This window comes from Homo sapiens, chromosome 6, assembly GCF_000001405.40.
Source record: "Homo sapiens chromosome 6, GRCh38.p14 Primary Assembly".
In the NCBI taxonomy this organism is placed as follows: Eukaryota; Metazoa; Chordata; class Mammalia; order Primates; family Hominidae; genus Homo; species Homo sapiens.
The window spans coordinates 132,150,710-132,169,829 of NC_000006.12; the positions used below are offsets into that span (position 1 = coordinate 132,150,710).

Here is a 19,120-nt window from a genome sequence, read left to right on the forward strand (position 1 = left end):
GACTGGCAGAGTAGTATTCTTATGATCTACTTTCAAGGAAAAAAGTAAGTTATCAAAAGATACATACACAGAAAATTATAGAAAGGTTTGGGAATGAAATATTACCAGTAGTTACCTTTGAGGAATGAGATATTGGATGGTTTTGATTATTTCCCCTCTACACGCTTTTCAATGTTTTCCAAGTCAGCTGAACAGATTACATATTATTTTTGTTATTTTAAATAATTAATTAATAAAATGTTCTTCCAACTTTAGAAAAACATAAACTCTTATTTGAGGCAATAGCATCACCACATTAATATGGCTAGATGAGAAAAAAAGTGAAAGTATGTTGTGATTATAAAGCATAAAGCAAATATAAGGGATTTAAAAAAAATAATTTCATTTATGTCTCGAATTCCAGCATTCTATACTGTTTCCTGGGTGCATGAAAAATGTCTTTATCTCATCCTCATTCTCAAAAGATAATTTTACTGAGTATAAGATTCTAGCTTGACATAAATTTTCTTTCAGAGCTGTGAAGATATTATTCTGGCATCCATTGTTGTTAATGGGAAGTCTACTTCAGTTTAATTTTCATTTGTTTAAAGTTATTTTATCTTGTGTCTCTTTTTAAGATCTTTTTGTCTTTGGTGTTCTGCTGTTTGATTGCAATGTGTCTAAAAGTGTGTGTGTGTGTGTGTGTGTGTGTGTGTGTGTGTGTTTTATTCTACTTTATATTAGCATTTGTTGGATTTCCTGAAACTAAAGATTGCAGTCCATAACAATGCTAGAAAATCCCACATCACTAACTCTTTGAGTATTTCCTTGTTCCCATTCTCTCTCTCTCTTTCTACTTCTGAAACTTCAATTACCTTCTCTACCTTCTGTTTTGCTTAACTATCTTTCCTATTTTCAATCTCTTTCTCCCTATATTATATTCTCAAGAATGCCTTTATTTCCAGACTGATCATTTGGTTCTTTTTTCAAATCTACCTAGTGATTTCTGAAAAATCTCTTATTCTTCATCATCTTACTATGTTCTTACTCTTTTTGAAAGATGAGGCTGATATTTACTTCAAAGTATATATGTGTCTTTCCAAAATCTGCAACATTTTGAGCTGGAATCATCAGGTTGACTTTTCTTTTCCGGTCATTCTCATTCACATTTGCTTGCATGGTCTCAATCTCCTGAGAACATCCTTTCTTAGTTCATCAACTAGGGATGTCACCTTTTGGAGACTTTTGATTTGAGGCTGTTTCTTTGCTTTTCCATTTTCCCTTGCACAGACCAGGCTTTGTTTCTACTCTGTCCATGCAGTTCTGGGCTACCAGGAATGGCAGATGTCCTTAGGGCAAACAATGGCTTTTGAACTTGTCTACTTTCTGGAGTCACACCTTTTTTCATTTCTGCCCATCAAGATTTTTTTGACTTGTTTATCAGACAAATAACACAAAAATGTATTATTTTACAAAACTTCATTCAGTATTTTTAGGCATTGTTTACTGGAAGGGTTTTTTATAAACAACGATCCTACTATATTTTCAGAAGTAAAAGTGCCTAATCGTCTTTTAAATTATCTTCTTCCTCTATATGAATGAACACCTTTCATAGATATGCTTTGTGTTATGGATGTAGAAATCCCTGACACCTACTATAGTACCAGACACATATAAAGAATAAGGAAGTGGTGAAACCCTGTCTCTACTAAAAATACAAAAAATTAGCCGGGCGTGGTGGCAGGCACATGTAGTCCCAGCTAATCGAGGCTGAGGCAGGAGAATGGCGTGAACCCGGGAGGCAGAGCTTGCCGTGAGCCGAGATTGCACCACTGCACTTCAGCCTGGGTGACAGAGCGAGACTCCATCTCAAAAAAAAAAAAAAAAAAAAAAGAATAAGGAAGAAATTAATGGAATCAATTATATAATCTTAGAGCATAAGGTCTTTGAAAACTATAAACCATTTTAGAAATGTAGGACATTAGTACTTCCCCAAGGGATTTAGAAGTCATACTAAGTTTTTATTTTACCATAAAGGTTCCTAAATGAGATTTCATAGCCCAGTGAACATTTTAATTATTTGAAAATTAAACTGTCAAAATTTGGCTAAAAGTCTATAATTTATACATAACCAAATATATTTTTTAAAAAATTTATGACAACTGGCAAAAAGATTACATTTGATATTAGAATATTATGTTTTAGTCACCTTGCTCTTTTACTTAATTGTCAGACCCAAGGAGAAGACAACCTATGGGTTTCTTTATCCCTAACATTGATTTATTTGGTAAAAATGTTTTGCCCTGTACACAAATGAGCACGTATAATAGAGGATAACAAAAATGATTCATGCAGGAAACTCATATATTTTAGGGAAACATTTTAGGCCTGGGTCTTAAAGGAAGACTTTAGGCATAGTGATTTATTTTCAACTTTAATCTGCTGTTTATGGCCTGATAAAAAAAAACTTGTTTCCATTTTTTCGTGCTTTTCTAAAAGAATATTCACAATACGTGTAAAGCCAAGCATTTAAACATAGAAATGTGAAATTTTCCATATGCTTTTGCTGGGGGATATATATGCTTTTTTAAAACTCCATTGATGAAAATTCCTGGGTAAAAAGCAGACGTGTGTATGTGTGTGTGTGTGTGTGTGCGTGTGTGTGTTGTGTCTACTTGTGTATTTACTCGTTTGTGGTTCACATATTTTGCGGTTGAATTATCCAGTTTGTTCCCTCCCTTCTGATGAAGTCTTGCATTCCAACTTCATTGCAGTGTGCAGTTCGTCTGTGTGGTTTGCTTTTTCTTGCATCTGAAAATAATTTGGGAGAAACAGAAACATAAAATTTGATTTAACCTGAAAAATCTTTTCTTCATTTCTTTTTAAAATATGACCAGTTCAGGCCTTTCTATATAAGGATAAAGAGTCAAAGTCAGGCTAATCCAGGAAAAATGTGAGCCTGAAGAGTTCCTCAAATCCGATATTTGAGCAAACCAATCCCAAAATATCCAAGACTTATTCCTTGGCTCCGAGAACTGCAACATCATAGGGATGGCTTTTTCCCATTATTGGCAGTTCTTTTGCTTGTTCACACTTTGCCATTGAGGTTTTCTTCTCAAGATTCTTCTCGAGAAGATGGAGTTTAACTATAACGAACACTGTATTCCTAAAGTCACAAGAGGTGCAGGTCAAAATTATTTTATTTTCAGGCATCAGTACAAAATATTTAAACCTGGAGGACTGCGCTCCAAAATTATACCAAAAATAGAAAACATTTTTAAAATTATGGAACATCCAATTCAATGAAATACCACCCATGCATATTTACAAAAGTTTTAAAACTATGGTATGTGTTTATTATAAAGTTAAATGGAAAAGTTTAGAATCTAAAATTATATGGTGCTACATTAGTACAACTATGTACAACTATTAGTACAACTAAACAGGAATATAAAAATAAATCAAGCAAAAACATACCATTAAAAAACCCTGTTAATTAGTCATTACCTTTTTGTTTGGAGAATATGTGATTTAAAATCTTCATCGATGTTTGAAACTCAATGAATATCAATATTTTCATGACTTTTATTTCTGTATTATTGATTTATATATTTATTTTGAGGTAGCAGTGTGTTAAGGCAGAACAAGTTTCCAAAGACCTGTGTTTTAATTATGTTTTTTTACCATTTACTAATGAAAGCTTCATATTTTTATCTATATGGTTTAAATAATATATCATCCTAAAACTGTTTGTCAGTTCATCTCTTCTTCTGGTGACTCATTGAAAAGTATTTTTTATGTACAAAAACTGTATATATCTATATCTATCTATCTATCTATATATCTATCTATCTATATATATATATATATATATATGGAGAGAGAGAGAACTAGATAGCTATTTTAAAATGTATTTGCATTGGTAGATGTCACAAATCAGGTGTTTCACTTTTACATTTCATTTCAGACAGAAGTGCTTGCCTTGGTGATCCAAAAAAGGCAGGATCCGGCCGGGGGCAAGGTGATTATTCTGTCTGATGAGGAGAATAAGAGCCAGTTTGTGGTATTGACAGAAGAATGAAAGTAAAGGTAGGCTAGAGATCATCTCTTTCACAGGTTTATCTGTGTTAGGTTCTCCCAGGCAAAGGCACGTTTCTCTTTCAGATGTTGCTTTAAATTCCCAGCTTGTGGTAGGCATTAATTCATCATGGTAAAGCCTCATGTGAGATTATTCACCAAGTAACTGAGTATATTTTCTCTGAACCCAACTTTTCACATCATCCCACTCAGTCAACTTAGTTCTAAAACTTTTTTAAAAACATGAACATTTCTAGAATTTTCATCTCGAATCTACACCCATCTGATTTTTCAATTGCCACAATCCAGTTTTCAGTAGAAACTGTAGAAATCACCTTCAATCTATTAGAATTTGCATATTTTTCTATTTATTATTCTTCTTCAAGAGAAATATTTTCCCTCTAGTCAAAGGTTGATGCCTTCTGGTACCTTCAAATAACATCTTCTGTGGATGTGATTTCTTAGAAGTTTTTTTGAAAGGTGTTATAAAGCCATGTACTGAAAACCACAAACATTCTCCTCCAACATAGTGCAAATTATGTTATACCAAAGACTCATGAACAGCCTACCTATTTAAAGTATCCAGTGAAGAGATTTGACAGTGGTTTGTCTATGAAGTTTCAACCTGTGCCATTTAAGGCAAACCAATTTCATTAACTGCTCTGAGAGGACATATGTCTTGACCACTCTTGTTGCATTTTTAAGGAGAAAGTCATTTTTGAAGCAGTAAACATCCTTGTGGGTATTGAAATTAATATGGAATCATAATCATAGCTCCCATAATCATATGGGAACTTGAATACTTGAAAGGCATGAAGCATCAGTCAATCCGGAGATTCAGATGAGCTATTCAAAATGATTATGGACTTTTTATATTCTAGTCAAATGTGGCTGATCAACAATATTTTAGGGGAAACAAATATTGTTGTATATTATTAAAGTTTTTAACAGTCTGTGTTGCAAGTAACTGATTGGCCCAGCTTGGGTAATGGGCTCTCCCACTTGATCCACTAGGAAGCATAAATCTCCAAAGGAAAACAGAGGTGTTATTACGAAATGAATGGGAAGGAAGCTTAGAAAGGCTGAAAAAAACAAAATTGTCCAGTCCTTTTTATTTTATTGATTTTGCATGTTCCTTAAATCAGAGCCAGTGAGACATATTTATAAAAAAACAATGGCCTTTCCCTACAAATGCTGGTTATTTAAAATATTTGAACTTTTCTTTCCTTCCTTCCTTCCCTCCTTTCTTCCTTCCTTCCTTCCTTTCTTCCTTCTACTTTATTTCTGCCCTTCTACCCTTCTTTCTTTCTTCCTTCCTTACTACCTTCTTTTTTTCTCTTCCTCCCTTCCTTCTATCAGGGCCACAGTGTCATTCTAAAGCACAATACTGAATATACAGCGTAGGTTCAAGTCAGCAACTGAGACTCAGAATCCCAAAACAAATCACTTATCAGAGCTTTTCAGTTCTGTAGCTTGCTGTAAGGTCACTTAGATATCTGTGCAGAATCATGTTATTCTGTTTTATATAATAAAATAATAAATGCTTTCAAAATTTAAAAATAAACGGATTTTCTCCAATTTCAGGTATTCTCTCATAATTTCTTAAAACTGTATTCTGCAGTAATAAAACAATTGTAGAATTAGAAAAGGACTTTTAACAGAAAATCTTGTGGAGCTGGTCTACAACTTTTGGTTTGTTTACTGTGCTCAGGATTGTTCTTTTATACTGAATAAAGACATATTTCTTGCTATTAAAATTAGTCAAAACTTATGTAATTGCATTAAAGATATGTCTTTTAAGGTGGTTCTTCCCAGAGCACTAGGACTTTTGTGTTTCTCAGGTGAACATACTAGAGAATTTTTGTGACATGGCACAAACCCTTTCCCAAAAGATACTGATGTGGTTGGCATTAGGACTCATGTTCTCTTTGCCAACCATTCGGTCCTTTATAAATTTCACAAGAGAAATATTTTCTGTTTTTCATTTTATTTTCTTGTGAAAAACATTGGCTGAAAAGCCAGCTGGTAATGTACATGTCTTATATATTGGCTGATTATCATTTGCCATTATCTTTAGGTCAGAAGATGCTATATATACATGGGCTGGGGGACTTGTCCATGACTATGCATCACTCATCCAGTAGAATCCTTCAAGGATAACAGGCTAAACTTGATTGTAATTAAGATGATTTTCTTTCTCTTCAAACAGATGTATAAGGAGACCATTTTATTCTCAAGTAATAAAGTTAATGAATCTGATTTCAAATAATATCTTTAAAATGAAAATGCTCATAGAAGGAGTTAGGAAAGTTCAATCAAAATTGTCAATAAGAGAAGATTTCTACTTCTGAGAAGATGGAGTAGACATACATCTACAAAACGGATAGACCTTAAAAGAGAAATAGACAAGACTACAATTATACTTCAAGGTTTCAACATCCCTTTCTCAGCAACTGACAGAACTGAACAAAAATTCAGCAAGGATATAGAAGAATCAACAACACCATCAATCCACAGACTCAAATGAACATTTGTAGAATACTGCCCCCCCAACAGCAGATTACACATTCTTTTCAAGCACTCAGGGAATATATATCAATATAGACTGTATCCTAGGCAATAAAACAAAAGACAACACATTTATAATAATTGAAATTACATAAAGTGTATCCTCTGATCACAATGGAATCAACCTGGATACCAGCAGCAAAAAGATATCAGAAACATTTCTAACCACTTGCAAAATAAACTACACATTTCTAAATAGTCCAGGGATCAAAGAGGAATTCTTAAGGAAAATAAAAAATAAATGGAATAGAATGAAATTAAAAAATACAACATATTTAACTATTAGGGGCATAGTTAAAACAGTTCTGAGGGGGAAATTGTAATACTAAATATTTCCATTAGAAAGGAGGTAATGTGTTATATTAGTCATCTAAGCTCCTACTTCAAGAATCTCAAAAAAAGAAGAGCAAAATGAACTCAAAGCCAGCAGAAGAAAGGCAATAATAATGATGATAGCAGAAATAAATAAAGTTTAAAAGAAAAACCAATGAAATGAAAAGCTGGTCCTTTGAAATGGTTCATAAAATTGACAGCAGTTTGACTGGTAAGAGAGATTGACAAAATAAGACTGACAGAGAAAAAGAAAGGCAACACAAATTGTAAAGACCTTAACAACCTCAAAAGGCTTATAAGGGAATATTACAAATGACCTACACACATAAATTGGATGACTTAGAAGTGTACCAGTGTTCAAAAAGCACAGGCTACAACAACTCACCAAATATTAAACAGATAATTTAACTAGTCCTAAAACTAACTAGTAAGGAAATTGAATTTATAATTTAAAAATCAATCATACAAATGTTTAAACAAAAAGTAATGCTAATTCTACACAATCTTTTCTAGCCAGTAGAAGAGGAGGAAATACCTCCCAATTAGTTTTGTGAAGCTAATATTATCCTGATACTAAAACAAGATGAAACAGTATAAAAATAAAAAAACTAGAACTGTGTCTTTCATGAATGTAAATATAAAAATTATTAACAAAATATTAGCAAATAGAATTCAGCAATATATAAAATAATTACACACCATGACCATGCAAAGTTTATTTCAGAGACACAATATTGTTACAATATTTTGATATTAATCAAAGTAGTCCATCGTATTAATAGGCTAAAGAAGAAAAATCACACGATTACATCAAGTGATACAGAAAAGGCATTTGACAAAAATTTACCACCCATTCATAATAAAAACTTTCAGAAAATGAGGAATAGAGGGAAACTTCCTCAACTTGATAAAGAGCATTTACAACTAACATTATAAATAAATAAACCTCAATCTAACCTTCACACATTATATAAAATGTAAGTCAAAATGGATAATAGACTTATTGTAAAATGTAAAACTATAAAAGCTTTAGAAAAAAAACATAAGAGAAAAGAGAAAATCTTAGGAATCTAGGCCTAGGCAGAGAGCTGTCAGACTTGATACCAAAAGTATGATTCAAAAAGAAAAAAAAATAGTAATAAATTTGACTTTATCAAAATTTTAAAAACTTTTGCTTTGAAGAAGACCCCGATAAGATGCTCTAAAATTAGGCTACTGACTGGGAAAAAAATTTCAAACCACATATTCAAAAAGAATGAGTATCTAAAATATGTAAGAAACTCAAAAACTATTTTAACTAGGGTGAGATGGTATCTTATTGTAGCTTTAATTTGCGTTTCTCTGATTATTAGTGATGTTGAGCCTTTTTTTCATATATCTGCTAGCATTTGTATGTCTTCTTTTGAGAAATATCTATTCAGATCATTTGACTATTTTTTAATTAGGTTATTAGTTTTTCTGCTATTGAGTTGAGTTCCTTATATATTCTGGTTGTTAATTACTTGCAGATGAGTAGTTTGCAAATTTTTTTTTCCATTCTGTAGGTTGTCTCTCCACTTTGTTTCCTTTGCTGTGCAGAAGCTTTTTGGCATAATATGATCTCGTTTGTCCATTTTTGCTTTGATTGCTTGTGCTTTTGAGAACTTACTCAAGAAATCCTTGCCCAGACCAATGTCCTGGAGAATTTACCCAATGTTTTCTTCTAGTAGTTTCATAGTTTCAGGTCTTAGATTTAATTCTTTAATCTATTTTGATTTGATTTTTGTATATAGTGACAAACAGGGGTCTAGTTTCATTCTTTTGTATATGGATATCCAGTTTTCCCAGCACCATTTATTGAAGAGACTGTCTTTTTCCCCAGTGTATGTTATTGGCACCTTTGCCAAAAATTAGTTGACTATAAGTGCATGGATTTATTTCTGAGTTCTCTACTCTGGCTATTCTGGTTTTCTTTTATGGTTCCATATAAATGTAAAGATTATTTTTTCTGTGTCTGTGAAGAATGTCATTGGTATTTTAATAAGGATTGCCTTAAATCTGTAGATTGCTTTGAGTAGTGTGGACATTTTAACAATATTGATTCTTCCAATCCATGAACATGGAATATCTTTCCATTTTGTGTATGTGTGTGTATCTAGATGCTGGTGAGGATGTGGAGAAAGGGGAACCCTTGAACACTGATGGTGGGGATGTAAATTAGTACAGACACTATGGAGTGCAGTATGGAGGTTCTTCAAAAAACTAAAAATAGAACTATCATATGATCTAGCAATTGCACTGCTAGGTATATATTCAAAAGAAAGGCAATCAGTATGTGGAAGAGATATCGACACTCTCCTGTTTATTGCAGGGCTATTCACAGTAGCCAAGATATGGAATCAACTTAATGTCTATCAACAGATGAATAGATAAAATATGGTACATATATACAATGGGATACTATTCAGCAATAAAAAAAGAATGGAATCCTGTCACTTACAACAACATGGATGAAACTTGTGGACATTATGCTAAATGAGATAAGCCAGAAACAGAAAGACAAATATCACACGTTCTCATTCATATGTGGGAGCTGAAAAAAAAGCTCATGGAGATAGAGAATAAGAATAATGATTATTAGAGGTTTGAAAGGATAGTTGGGAACAGGAGATAAAAAGGGAATGGGCAATAGGTACAAACATACAATTAGATAGAAGGAATAAGAGCTAGTGTTCACTTGCACAACAGGGTAATTATAGTTAATAATTTATTGTATATTTCAAAACAACAAAACAAGTGGAATTGGGATGTTCCTTACACAAAAAAATGATATATATTTGAGGTGATAGATATCCCAATGACCCTGATTGGATCATTACACATTATTTGCTTGTACTAAAATATTACATGTTCCCTACAAATATGTACAACTATTATGTACCCATAAAAATTTTTTAAAAAGAAAGCAAAACAGTATAAAATAAAAAAGTAAAAAACACAGGTGAAATAAATTTTAGTAGCATATTTTTTGATCCAATATATCTAAATATTGTCATTCAACATGTAATCAGCATGAAAATATTGATGAGATGTTTTCCTTTTTTTTTTTTTTTGCATTCAGTCTTGAAAGATGGGAAGATCAGGAGCAGTCTGGAGTCATGGTATATGAATGAACTAGTGAGAGTGGGCACAAAGTCTGAAGATCTTTGTAGTGCAGCTAATGTCTAAGGGAGAATATACCTACCCTAGAAGAGACATTAAACAACCAGGTAATTGGAGTAGACAAAGTGTCAGCCAGTCAATATCAGCCATACTCTGTCATCAGAGACTTCAGTGTTTGGACAATAAGCACATGAACAGAGTAAGCATGGTGTAAGGGATGCAGGTTTTGCATGGGCCCCACCAATTTACTGAAGTTGTTATAACTTCTGTCACTGCCAAATGTCCCAGAAGTAGCAACAGAGACCAACACTAAGCCCCCAATACAGCACTATCTCTTCAGGAGATCAACCAGCCAACCTGGTGGCAAGTTAAATTCATTGGACTTCTTCCATCCTCAAAGGATGGAAGCATTAATTCATTTCGAATTAATGCTTTTTGAATTTATACATATTCCAGGTATGGTCTGTGTTTTATGTCAAAGAACCTCAAACAGCACCATTAGCCGTGGGATTGCAGAGAGTTTAGTCCATCAACAGGAGATCTCATATAGCATTGCCTCACACTAACACAGTGGTTCTTAACCATGGGCAATTCCTTATCTCCCATATCCCACCCCCAAGACCTTTGGCAATGTCTGGAGACATTTGTGATTGTCGGAAACGGGAGGATATTACTGACATCTAGTGGCTAGAGAGTTGCTGCTAAATATCCTGTAGTGGACAGGACAGCCTCCCTCAATAAATAATCCACCCCAAAATGTCAATATGCCACTGTTCAGAAATTCTGGACTAAGAGCAACCTCTATTCTGTTTTCCATAATGGCTGTATTGATGTACATTGCTGTAAACAGTGTAAAAGTATTTGCTTTTCTCCACATCCTCACTAATACTTGTCTCTTTTTTTGATACACATCCTAAAAGGTGTGAGCTGATATGTCATTGTGGTTTTAATTTGCATCTCCCTGGTAATTAGTGATGTTGAGTATTACTTGTCAACCATTTGTATCTCTCTTTTGAGGAATGTCTACTAAGGTTCTTTGCCCATTTTTTAATCAGATTTTTTTCTTGCTGTTGAGTTGGGTCCCTTATATACTTTTGATATTAACTCCTTATCAGATATGTAGTTTACAAATATTTACTTCTATTCCATAGGTTGTCTCTTCATTCTGTTGATTGTTTCCTTTGTTGTAAAAGAAACTCACTTTACAGGAAAAGAGGTGCAACAGTGGCTGGATGATTATAAGATCGACTGTTCCTATTAAAAACTACACCATCCAAAAGAGGCTGCCATTGAAGAGCAATAAAGTAGTTCATAGAAGGCATAGGTGAGGCAGAAGCTTGAAAATGATACCATATAAGGATAAGAAATCATATTCCAAGATACAGTCTATACTCAAGTCTCATGACCATTGTATGGTACTGTGCTCCATTATTTAGATATGTGGTGCTCCATTGGTTACACATGGTGGCAGGCATGAAGAGTTGAAAATAGCAATATGGCCATCTTCACAATATTGATTTTTCCTATCCATGAGCATGGAATTTTTTTCCATTTGTTTGTGTCCTCTCTTACTTCCTTGAGCAGTGGTTTGTTGTTGTCCTTGAAGAGGTCCTTCACATCTCTTGTAAGTTGTATTCTTAGGTATTTTATTCTCTTTGTAGCAATTGTAAATGGGAATTCACTCATGATTTGGCTCTGCTTGTCTATTGTTGGTGTATAGGAATGCTTGTGATTTTTGCATGTTGATTTTGTATCCTGATACTTTTCTGAAGTTGCTTATCAGCTTAAGGAGTTTTGGGGCAGAACCACAATGAGATACCATCTCACGCCAGTTAGAATGGCGATTATTAAAAAGTCAGGAAACAACAGATGCTGGCAAGGCTGTGGAGAAATAGGAATGCTTTTACACTGTCGGTGGGAATGTAAATTAGTTCAACCATTGTGGAAGACAGTGTGGTGATTCCTCAAGGATCTAGAACCAGAAATACCATTTGACCCAGCAATCCCATTACTGGGTATATACCCAAAGGATTATAAATCATTCTACTATAAATACACATGCACACATATATTTATTGAAGCACTATTTACAACAGCAAAAACTTAGAACCAACCCAAATGCCTATCAAGGATAGCCTGGATAAAGAAAATGTGGCAAATATACCCCAGGGAATACTATGAAGCCATAAAAAACGATGAGCTCATGTCCTTTGCAGGGACATTGATGAAGCCGGAAGCCATTATTCCCAGCAAACCAACACGGGAACAGAAAACTAACCATTGCATGTTCTCACTCATAAATGGGAGTTGAAAAATGAGAACACATGGACACAGGGAAGGGAACACCACACACCGGGGCCTGTTGGGGGGTGGGGCATAAGGGGAGGGAGAGCATTAGGACAAATACCTAAAGCATGCAGGGCTTAAAACCTAGATGACAGGTTGATAGGTGCAGCAAACAACCATGGCACATGTATACCTATGTAGCAAACCTGCACATTCTGCACATGCATCCCAGAACTAAAATAAAGTAACATTTTTTAAAAAAAGAAAATAGCAATGACACATAGGGAGTTTCTGCTTCCTTTTTCTGAAATTCTGAACTCCATGTGTTTAGTGGTCTTCGTTCCTACCATGGGGAATATCTATCAGTGAAACATAAGCTATGATTTTGGCCTGGGCACTTCAGACTCCATATGCCAAGGGACAAGTTGGCAAGGGGGGAATACCATATTGATAGAAGCAATTGAGCTGATCATCAGGAGAAAGGCTGTTATGACACACTGGGACAGGGGAGGAACATATTTGGTACTTGATTATCTCATGGCAATTCTTTGCCCAGTTTTCATGATAAATTGACAAATACAGTAGCCACAATCTAATAAGGGCTTGAGGACCAGATGTTTAGACAATCAGAGATATGGGTTTGGGTCATCCAACCAGGTAAGCCACCAAGACCAGGTGCTAGCTGTGGGAGAAGTGATTCTAGGATAGAGTGTAGAGGAAGAGGACAATAAATTATCACAGATGTAGCCTCAAGCCCAACTGCATCAATGAGACATAGCATTTCTCCATTAACTTTCCCCTAGGAAGCTTACTGCAGGAAAGAAATCCCTCAGAGTCCTGAAGATACAGCTTTCAGAACTTAGGTGAAGCAAGAGGACTCAAGGTGTGCAAGAATGGACAGTACAGAATGCTCTGCTACACTGCTCAGATTCCCCCTTCAGGAAGGAAGGACAAATTCACTCAACTTCTGGGAGCATTGATGGTTGAGCTCTCAGCCATCAGACCTTTTTGGAAGTTGCCCTCTTCTGAAAAGAGGCACATTGCCCAAGATCTTTCCTCCTCCAGAGCGCAGGCTGCACCTGAAGTCTGATTGATGTGGGGTATGATGGTCTGGTCTCCTTTCCCCATCTAAAGGACTGTTCTAACCTCAGGGCTCTCCTTGAGTTTCCTTAGTTAGTTCTTATTACTATGTTGCAGTCCAACTTCTTCTTTGGCCTAATTCTACTTTCCTCCCATTCCCCAATTGTTGATCCTGACAGCAATTTCCCCCCAAATTTCTGTAAACTAAGCATGATCTCAGAGTCACCTGACCTGCAACATTATTACATACACTATAGTCCGTGCACTTAAAGATTTAGTGAAAGTATGCTGCTGAAGCTTGCCAGAACTTCCCTTCTTCCACTGAAAATTTGTCTGTTCATAGATATACACCATTCGTTCTCTTCTCTACTTTGGCCAATTATCTTATGTTTGGGAAGGTGTTCTGCTAGAAGACAAAATAGCAATTCTTAGAACTAGAAAGAAAAACACATCAAAGTCTGTCCTTTCTTATGTCTTTTCTATCTACAACAAATACCCTGTGATAAAAAGGATGATAGGAAATATAAGTAGTTTGAGTCCACCAAATATTTGGCTTGAAGTATTTGGGTATGAAATACAAACTCACTTGACCTGGGCTCAAATTTGCCAGCACTTCTTTTCTTTCTTCTCTTTTCAGAAACAGACTTTATTTATATCAATGTTAACATCAATCACATAACCATCAGGAAGGCTGTAACTTTGATTTTTTTTTGTCCAATAGTTGGGCCAAGTTTACATTTCTCTTATTTTATTTATTTATTATTATTATTTTTTTGAGATGGAGTCTTACTCTGTCACCCAGGCTGGAGTGCAATGGCGTCATCTCAGCTCACTGCAACCTCCGCCTCCTGGGTTCAAACAATTCTCCTGCCTCAGCCTCCTGAGAAGCAGGGATTACAAGTGTGTGCCACCACGCCCGGCTAATATTTGTACTTTCAGTAGAGAACGGGGGTTTCACCATGTTGCTCAGGTGGTCCCGAACTCCTGACCTTGCGATCCACCCGCCTTGAACTCCCAAAGTGCTGGGATTACAGGTGTGAGCCACCGTGCCTGGACCATTTCTTTTCTCATATATCAGCCTATGCCAGGGGGGAGACTGGCTGAGGTTAAAGGCTAATGTCAAGTACTAACTGAACAACAAATGGATAACCTCAACAATGCAATATCCTGGTTGAAATTGTTAGTGAATTTTTTTAGCAGACCTGAGATCTATGTATCTCCATTCAACAAGTAAAGGTAGACTATTTCCTTAAATGCAAATTCCTATAAAAAATATCAGAAGTATGTTATGTATTTAAAGTTAAAAAGCATATAACTTTTTAAATGTTTAATAAAATTCACCAGTATACACCATCATTTTCATTGAGAAAAGGTTTATAATCATGAATTCTATTTATTTAATAATATTATTCAATATTTTTCTTTCATTTTTGTTAATTTGATTTGTTATGGCTTCTCAAAAAAAGCTTGTCCTTTTCATCTAATTTGTTCAATTTATTTTCATGAAACCGGTCACATACTTAATCTTTCATTGCTTCTTATATAACCAAATTTCCATCCGGTACCATTTACTCTGAGCCAAAGAACCAGAAGCCAAAAGAACTTCCTGTAGCATTTCCTGTAATACATATCTGCTGATTAACACTTTTCTAGGTTGACAAGTTATATAGTTGTCTTTCATTTAGTTTAAAGATGTTGTTCCATTGTCTTCTCATTTTCATTGTTTCTGATGAGAGGTCAGCCTTGTTTCTTATTATTGGTCCTCTGCATTTAATGTGTAATATGTCTTTTCTTCTCTTGCTTTTCAAATGTTCTGTTTAATTCTGATTTTCAGCAGTTTAATATAATGTCCATTGCTTGTTTTTTGCTTAGATTCCTGAAATTATGTGTGGGTTTTTAAATAAAGTTTGAAAATTTCTAACCATTATTTGGTTAAGTAATTTTTCTGCTTCATACTCTCTCTTTTTCTTTTTCTAGTACTCTAATTACAAACTTTCATTCTTTTGCCATTATTTCACAGGTTGTTAATATTCTACTTTAAAATTTTAAAGTAATTTTTATGGAAAATTTGATCATAATTTTTAATAACTATAATAGAAAATTCTAAAAATTCAAAAGGTAAGCCATATCAACAATTCATATCATACCTATAGAAATGGCAATTTTGGTCTATTATTTTCCAAACCATCTACCTTATTTTCTTTCTTACATCTTATGCTGGCCATGACTTGCAGCCTATATGGTTCAGTAGCAATGATAATATCCTTGTATTTAATTTATCCTTGTATTTAATGTATCTTAAGAGAAAAAAAAAGTCTCAAATTTCATGATTAAGGATGCTGTTTGTTAAGGTTATTGAAATATATGTTCAAATGATTTCAGGGAGTTTCCTAATTTTGAGTATTTTGCTATTTTGATATAGATTTTGAAATTTATTTTTTCCCCTAACTACTGGGGGGGAAAATGTGGAAAAATAATTACTAGTGCTATTCTCCACGTATTTCAAATTGTCTCTGTGTCTGAACACATGTGGAATTTCACTTCTTTGTCCCCTGGAAGTGAGGTTGGCCATGTGACTTGCTCTGATGTATAAAGTATGAACAGAAAAAATGTGCTACTTCTGGGAAGAAATTTTCAGAGGTAGCATGGTATGTGTCACCAATTTCCCTTTTTCTGACACAGTGACTATGTAAATATGTATAGAGATGTCTCTTCTGTCAGTCTGGATCCCTTAGTGACTGTGATGAGCAAAGTCTTATTGCCAGTGTTCATTGAATGAGTAACATGAGCACATACTTAATTGTTATGATAAACTACTCAGATATTAGGGTTGTCTATGCAGAATAACCCATCCTTTATTTTTCTTTTTATGCTAAACCATTCTTTTATTTAAGGCACTAGTACTTGATCATAACATATCACTTAATATTTTTTATTCTATAGCTTTAAGTTTTATTCTACAAATCCTTTTGTTGATAATAATTATAACTTGAATGTAATCTGCTTTGTGTTTCTAGGAGGCAAAACCAGGTAAGCAATACAGCTTAGAGAATACTTTTATTAAAAAACTTTTCTTTCTAAGAGTAAAATGAGTGAAAGAAAAATAACTAAATATATAGTCTCTGTCCTTGTGGGATAATAGTAACAGAGTTCATTAGAAAATATGAAATAATGACCCAAAGATAATTCTACAGGGACCATGTGAGCTTAGAGTGAGAAAAGGAAAGAAATCTTTTCCAGAAGGAGTGATCTAGAAAAACTTTATGGAAAAGGTGACATATAAACTGGGTTTGAAAGATGAATAGAATATTGATGAGGAAATTCTACACAGCATCTAAGTAAATATACCGTGAGAAAAGTGTAAGCAAGATATATAAATGGAACAACAAGTTATACAGTTTGACTTACTTGTAATAGCAGAGTAAATATGTAGAAGTGTGAATTTTATTTTAAAACATCAAAGATTTTTAATAGAAGAGGGATTTTGTTATTAAGAGGATAATTAATATTGCCATTATATTTAGGATGAATTATAAAGGATGGGTACTAGAGGTCATCAGAGGTTTGGGAGGGGTGAGAGTTTTTCATTGTCAAGGTGAGACAGCAAGGGTCTGAGAGAGGAAATAAAAAAGAAGAAACAGCTTTGAGTTTTGTTGAGCTACAAGGTTTACAGATATTTATATTTTCACCTATGACTTAGCATTTGAAAACCTAACAGTCTTCTTTTTTGTATATTGCAAGCCATATAAATAGAGTCTATAACTAGATAGATCTTATTGGATAACCACCCAAAATGTAATATTTTATGCTATTGAACACTGACTCAATATGCTAATATTCAACACTCAAACCAAAAGTGAAAACACAGATGCCTGAGGAAAGAAAAGTTGGCAGCAGAAACTAGTGGGAATTGGGTAGGGTTTTTCTTGGCCTTCTGCTGCACAATAGGCAATTGTGATTCAGGTGTATTTGTTTATTCTGGTAGAAATAAATTCTCCCACTAAAACAAAAGTGCCATTATAAAGAGCTAGACAAAATCAACAACACCCGTCTTTGCCATGTCTTGCATGACTGTAAGGGGTCACATTCAGGAATTGTTGATCAGACTTCCTTTGTCTCTCTCTTTTAAAAAGGCATTTTGCAAATTTAATACTTTTCCATGTTCTAAAGCATTGCTTGTCCACGGGAGAGGGGTTGGGTGTCAAGCAAACGCAGAGAGGCTCTAGGGGTTTCTAAAGTGGTCACTTCAATAGTCATTTCATAACATGTTTGTCGGCATGTCTTTCTTCCAGTTCTGGTTTTGTTACCTTCTCTCTGTTTTCAATGTAAACAGCAGTACAAAGTGAGCTATCTTCCTGCTATTCAAAATAAATACTTATTTGGGTAAAATTTATAATGTTAGATTCTACTTTTAGTCAGGAAATGCAAACAAAGCTTGGAGACTGCTTGTTCCCTGACCCCAAATTCATTCCATGTTGCTATAGCATCACCCCTGAGAAAATGGGCCTGCCTGTTTTCCTCCCCATAGACAAACTCAATGGGCTTTTGTCAGCTCTTGAATTATAGCATTAAAATTTAAACAGTAGGGATTTAATGGAGGATTATTATGACACTCCAGTGCATTCTTTCTGTTGCCATTAGCAACAACCCCAAGAATGAAATAAAATAATTGTTTTAGGAGGTGCTGTTTTCCTAAAAGATGAAACATCTACCTTACATTCTTGGAGTTACATAAACTAATTTGTGTGTGTGTTACTTCTAACATGAGTAGAGTATTGGTAGTGTATACCAATCCAATGATTTAAGGTATTTTTTTTTCCCTTTTAGTTCAACCAATCTACAAAGGCCAAAAATATTTTCACAGGCCCCCAAAAGATGAACTCCAATCTGCTGCCCCTAAACGCATTCTCCACTGTCTGGAAGATGTGCAAAGGCAACGGCACAGCGTTCTCCATCTCAAATCCTTCAAAGTGCTGTCAGAATAAAAGAATCCCCACCAAAAGCCCCAGGGAAATCTATCTGTCTGTATGGTATGGTAATGACTGAGGTTATTCCAGATAGGATTCTGGGAGAAACTCAGCTATTGAAATCTAATGAATGGAACTGAGAATTTCTTGTTATAATACTGTTTGTTTGATTGAATATATCCTTGCATATAGGAAGACATAAAAATAAATAATAAAAGCAAGATATTATTTGAATTTTTGTTTGATTATATAATCTGAGAATTTTTCTGGTAAGTAATTTTGCATCTGGATTTATTTTTTCTGCCAGTCACTTGCCTTTCTAGTTTTATGTCATTTTTATCTCTTTCCTATTTTAATGTCAGCACCTAGGTTTACATTAAGGATTGTATTTTTTTAATCACCAGGGATTACAACAATTTATGTTCCTTTTCTAGCTGCCAAAATACAGATATTTCCTTTCTTCTGCTATATTCTTGCTGGACAACTCCTTTCAAAATATTTTTAACTTTTTCTGTTTGAAGTGAATTTCAGTTCATTGTAGAAATAATACAAAATGAGTAACAGGCAATAAATAAATGAATAGTCCTTTGGATTTTTACCACCCAGAGATAATAGTTCTTAATCTAAGTGTGAGCCTTAATCTATAGCAATGAAAATTAGTCTTACTTTCACCAAAGACATCCAGGGTT

General features: G+C 34.4%; 1 long non-coding RNA gene across 7 annotated transcripts in view; it reads left to right on the plus strand.

Moving 5' to 3' along the window:
* Window positions 1–18,665, plus strand: part of LINC01013 (long intergenic non-protein coding RNA 1013) — a 36,803-nt gene extending 18,138 nt beyond the window's left edge. Inside the window, exons 3-6 of one of the 7 annotated variants that reach the window (NR_187603.1) lie at window positions 3,947–4,068; window positions 10,058–10,205; window positions 11,250–11,422; window positions 13,188–15,385. This is a non-coding gene — a long non-coding RNA (long intergenic non-protein coding RNA 1013). Of the gene's footprint in view, window positions 1–3,946; window positions 4,069–10,057; window positions 10,206–11,249; window positions 11,423–13,187; window positions 15,386–18,291 lie in introns of those variants that run through there. The other 6 variants (NR_187598.1, NR_187602.1, NR_038981.2 and 3 more) reach the window with 6 other exon arrangements.
* The last annotated feature ends 455 nt before the right edge of the window (window positions 18,666–19,120 follow it).